Genomic DNA, 6,000 nt, shown 5'->3' on the forward strand with positions numbered 1-6,000 from the left:
GTCTAGAATTTATTTTTTTAATTTTATTTTCATTTTAAATTTTAGATTCAGGGGATTCAGGAAGTACATGTGCTGGTTTGTTACATTGGTATATTGCATGATGCTTAAGTTTGGGCTTCTGTTCATCTTATCACCCAAACAGTGAACATGGTATTCGGGAGTTAATTTTTCAACCATTGCCCTACTTTATCTCTCTCTCTTCCCTTTTCAATTCTCCAGTGTCAACTGACCTAATCTTTATGTCCGTGTGAATCAATGATTAGCTCCCATTTATAAGTGAGAATATGCAGTATTTGGTTTTCTGTTTCTGATTAAATTCACTTAAATTAATGGCCTCCAGCTGCATCCATGTTGCTGAGGATGATATGCTTTTGTTCTTTTTTGTGGCTGTGTAGTATTCCATATACAGTTTCTTTATCCAATCCACTATTGATGAGCACTTAGCTTAATTATATGTCTTTGCTATTGTTAATAGTGCTGCAATAAACATGTGAGTGCAGGTGTCTTTTCATTAGAATAATTTATTTTCCTGTAGGTATATACCCGGTAGTGGGATTACTGGGTGGAATGGTAATTCTATGTTTAGCAATTTGAGAAATCTAGATATTGTTTTCTATAGTGGTTGTAATAATTTACATTTCCACCCACAGTATATGTGTTCCCTATCCACAACATCCATGCTAGCATATACTGTTTTTGAACTTTTAATTATAGCCATTCTGACTGGTGTGAGATGAAACCTTATTGTAATTTTGACTTACAATTCTCTGATGATTAGCGCTATTGAGCATTTTTTCATATGTGTATTGGTTGCTCTTATGCCTTCTTTTGAGAAGTGTCTGTTTAAATCTTCTGCCTACTTTTTAATGGGGTTATTTATAGTTTTCTTATTGATTTGTTTAAGTTCCTTGTAGATCCTGGATATTAGTCTATCAGGGGAACCACCCCCAATATTTCAACATAGGTTCTTTCTATTTTCCCTAAATGTCAGCCGATCTGAGAAATAAAGAGAAAGAGTACAAAGAGAGGAATTTTACAGCTGGGCCACCAGGGGTGACATCACATATCTGTAGGTCTGTGATGTCCACCTGAGCTGCAAAACCAGCAGGTTTTTATTAAGGACTTCAAAAGGGGAGAGGGTGTATGAACAGGGTGTAGGTCACAAAGATCACATGCTTCAAAGGGCAAAAAGGAGAACAAAGATCACATGCTTCTGAGGCCAATAAAGATCACAAGGCAAAGGGCAAAGCAAAGATCACAAGGCAAAGGGCAAAATAAAAAACTCCTGATAAGGGTCTATGTTCAGCTGTGCACATATGGTCTTAATAAACATCTTAAACAACAGAAAACAGGGTTCAAGAGCAGAGAACCGGTCTGACTTCAAATTTACCAGGGCGGGGTTTCCCAATCCTAGTAAGCCTGAGGGTACTGCAGGAGACCAGGGCGTATTTCAGTCCTTATCTCAACTGCATAAGACAGACACTCCCAGAACGGCCTTTTATAGACCCCCCTCCCCCAAGGAATGCAATTCTTTTCCTAGGGTCTTAATATTCCTTGCTAGGAAAAGAATTTAGCGATGTCTCTCCTACTTGCACGTCTGTTTATAGGCTCTCTGCAAGAAGAAAAATATGGCTCTTTTTGCCTGACCCCGCAGGCAGTCAGACCTTATGGGTGTCTTTCCTTGTTCCCTAAAAATCACTGTTATTTTGTTCTTTTTCAAGGTGCACTGATTTCATATTGTTCAAACACACATGTTTTACAATCAATTTTTACAGTTAACACAATCATCACAGTGATCCTGAGGTGACGTACATCCTCAGCTTATGAAGATAGCAGGATTAAGAGATTAAAGTAAGACAGGTGCAAGGAATTATAAAAGTATTATTAGGGAAGTGATAAATATCCATGAAATCTTCACAATTTATGTTCCTCTGCCGCAGCTCCAGCCAGTCCTTCCGTTTGGGGTCCCTGACTGCCCACAACATTAGTCCTTTGTTGAATGCATACTTTGCAAATATCTTCTCCCACTCTGTAGATTATATGTTTACTCTGCTTATAGTTTTTGTTTGTTTGTTTTGCTGTGTAGAGCTTTTTAGTTTGATTAGGTCTCAACCGTCAATTTTTTGTTTTTCCTACATTTGCTTTTTGAGGATTAGTCATAAATTCTTTGCCTGGGACAATGTTCAAAAGAGTATTTGCTACTTTTTCTTCTAGCATTTTTATAGCTTGAGGCCTTAAATTCAATTCTTTAATCTATCTTGAGTTATTCTTTATATATGGTAAGAGGTAGAGGTCCAGTTTCATTCTTCTGTGCTATTTATTAAATAGGATGTCCTTTCCCCAGTGTTTATTTTTGTCAACTTTGTCAAAGATCAGTTGGTGTGGCTGTGTGTATTAACTTCTGGATTCTCTATTCTGTTCCATTGGTGTACATGTCATTTTTATACCAGCACCATGCTGTTTTGATTTCTGTCACCTCTTACAGTAGTTTAAAATTGGGTAATGTGATGCCTCTGGTTTTGTTCCTTTTGCCTAGGACTCTTTGACTATGTGAGTTCTTTATTGATTCCATATTAATTTTAGAACTTTTTTCTAACTATGTAAAAGTGATGCCTATAATTTTCTAGGAATGCTATTGAATGTATTAATTCCTTTAGGATATTTTAATGATATCAATTCTTCCAATTAATGAGCATTATTGGCTATTGCAAACGAGATTGCATTCTTGGTTTGCTTCTCAGCTTCAAAGGTATTGGTGAATAGAAATGCTAATGATATTTCTACATTGATTTTTCAACCTCAAAACTTTACTGAATTCGTTTATCAGGTCTAAGAGACTTTTGGCAAAATTACTAGGATTTTCTAGGCATAGAATCATATCATTAGTGAAAAGAAGTAATTTGACTTCCTCTTTTCCAATTTGGATGTCTTTTATTTTTTCCTCTTGGCTGATTTTTTTCAGTAGGAATTCCAGTATTATATTCAATAGGAGTGATGAGAGTGGACAGCCTTGTCTTATTTCATTTCCTTGGTAGAATGCTTCCAACTTTGCCCATTCAGTATGATGTTGGTTGTGGGTTTGTCATAGATGGCTCTTATTCTTTTGAGGTATCTTCATTCGACATTTAGTTTTTTTAGTGTTTTTAACATAAAGGATGATGGATTTTATTAAATATTTTTCTGAATCTATTGAGGAGATCTTATGGCTTTTGTTTTTAATTCTGTTTATGTGATGATTCACAGTTATTGACCTGCCTATGTGAAACCATCCTTGCATCCAGGAATAAAGCCTACTTGTTCATGGTAAATTACTCTATTAGAACATTCTTGTATTGCTGTTAATATAAAGGAATACCCAAGACCAGGTAATTTATAAAGAAAAGAGGTTTAATTGGCTCCACAGATCCGCAGGCCATTGAAGAATCATGATGCTGGTATCTGCTTAACTTCTGGGAAAGCCTCAGAAAACTTATAATCATGGAAGAAGGCAAATAGGTAGCAGGCATGTCACATGGCCAGAGCAGGGACAAGAGAGAGGGAGGGGGCAGGTGCTGCACACTTTTAAATGACTGCGTCTCACTACAACACACTCACTATTGTGAGAACAACACCAAAGGCAATAGTGTCAAACCATGAGAAATCATCCTCATGATCCAGTCACCTCCCATCAGGCCTCACTTCCAACACTGAGGACTGCAATTCAAAATAAAATTGAGTGGAGACACAAATCCAAACCATATAATTCCATCACTGCCCCTCTAAATCTCAAGTTCTTCTCATGTTGTAAAATATAATCATGTATTTTCAATAGTCTCCCAAAGTCTTAAGTCATTCTAGCATTAACTCAAAAGCCCAAAACCCAATGTCTCATCTGAGATGAGAGTAGTCTCTTCCACCTATGAACCTGTAATACCAAAACAAGTCAGTTACTTCCAAGGCAAGATTAGGTACAGGCATTGAGTAAATACTCCCATTCCAAAAGGGAAAAAGTCAAAAGAAAGGGGCTAAAGGCCCAATGCAAGTCCTAAATCCAGAAGAGCACTCAATAAATATTAAAGCTCCAAAATAACCTCCTTTGACTTCATGTCCCACCTTCAGGGCGTGCTGGTACAAGCAGTGGGCTTATAAGGCCTTGGGCATCTCTGCACCTGTGGCTTTACAGAGTTCAGACCTGGAGGCTGCTCACACAGTTGTTGAATCACTGCAACTTTTCCATGCTGAGGGTGCAAGCTCCAGTAGATTGCCAAGACTTAGATTCCCAAGACTCACCCACACTTGCACACTGTTCATTGATGATAGGCTTAACACCACATGATAGCCTCCAAGGATTATGGCAGCCTTTGACCCCCGGAGCTACAGCCCAAACTGTATCTGGGCCTGATCGAGCTGACGCTGGAGCTGGAATGGCTGGGATGTGGGGAACAGTGTCCTGATACTGTGTAGGGCAGCCAGGCCCTGAATGTTGCCGATGAAGACAATTTTTCCTCTTGGGCCTCAGGGCCTGTGATGGGAAGGGCTGCTGCAAAGGTATCTGAAATGCCTTCAAGTCCTTTTCCTCACTGTCTTGGATATTAACACTTGGCTTCATTTTGTTATGCAAATTTCTCTATTTAATAACTAAAATAACTGTGGAGTGCTAGCTCCACAGCCTGCTTGAATTTGTCTCCCAAGGAAGCATTTTCTTTTTCTACCACATGGCCACAGTACAAATTATTCAAACTCTTATGCTCTTTTTCCCTTTTTAATATAAGACCAAATTTATGTCATTTATTTGTTCCTGCATGTGAGCATAGACTGTTAGAAGCAGCCAGGCTAACTCTTGAATGCTTTGCTACTTAGAAATTTCTCTCACCAGATACAATAAATCATCACTCTCAAGTTCAAAGTTTCATAGATCCCTAGGGTAGAGGCACAATGCAGCCAAATTCTTTACTAAGGAATAACAAAAGTGATCTTTGCTCCAGTTTCCATTAAGTTTTTCACTTTCATTTGAGACTTCCGCAGACTGGACTTCATTGTCCATATCACCCTTAGCATTTTGGTCACAACCACTTACCAGTCTTGCAGATGTTCTAAGCTTTCCCTCATCCTCCTCTCTTCTTCTGAGCTGTCCACTCTTCCAAGCTCTGCCTGTTATCAAATTCCAAAGCTGCTTCCACATTTTCAGATATATTTACAGCAATACAGCAATATTTCATTCCTGGTACCAATTTTCTGTAATAGGCCATTCTTTCGTTGTTATAAAGAAATACCTGAGACTGGGTAATTTATAATTAAAAGAAGTTTAATTGGCTGATGGTTCTTCATGACGTACAAGCATGGCACCAACATCACTTGGTTTCTGGGGATGCCTCAGGGAGCTTTTACTTATGTTGGAAAGTGAAGTGGGAGCAGGCACATCACATGGCAAAAATAGGAGTAAGACACAGAGAGAGTGCCACATACTTTTTAACAATCAGATCTAGTGAGAATTTACTCACTAATGCGAGGACAGCAACAAAGTGATGATGAGAAACCATTTATGAAAATCTGCCCCCATGATCTAAGCTGCTCCCACCAAGCCCCACTTTCAACTTTGTAGATTACAATTCAATGTGAGATTTGGATGGGGATACAGATTCAAACCATATCAATTAGCTATTTATTGCACTACTGGATTTGGCTTGCTAATATTTTTTGAGGATTTTTGTGTCTGTGTTTATCAGAAATATTGGTTTGTAGTTTTATTTTTATGTGTGTGTTCTTGACGGTTTTGGTACCAGGATGATACTGGTTTCACAGAATGAGTTGGAGAAGAATTCCTCCTCCTTTATTTTTGGAATAGTTCCAGTAAGATTGGTACCAGGTCTTCATTGTACATCAGGTAGATTTCAGCTTGAATATGTCTGGTCCAGGGCTTACTTTGGTTGTCAGGTTTTTTTTTTTATTATTATTATGATTGATTCCATTTTGCAAGTTTTTATTTGTCTCTTTAGGGTTTTAATTTCTTCCTGGTTCAAT

This window comes from Homo sapiens, chromosome X (genome assembly GCF_000001405.40).
Source record: "Homo sapiens chromosome X, GRCh38.p14 Primary Assembly".
In the NCBI taxonomy this organism is placed as follows: domain Eukaryota; kingdom Metazoa; phylum Chordata; class Mammalia; order Primates; family Hominidae; genus Homo; species Homo sapiens.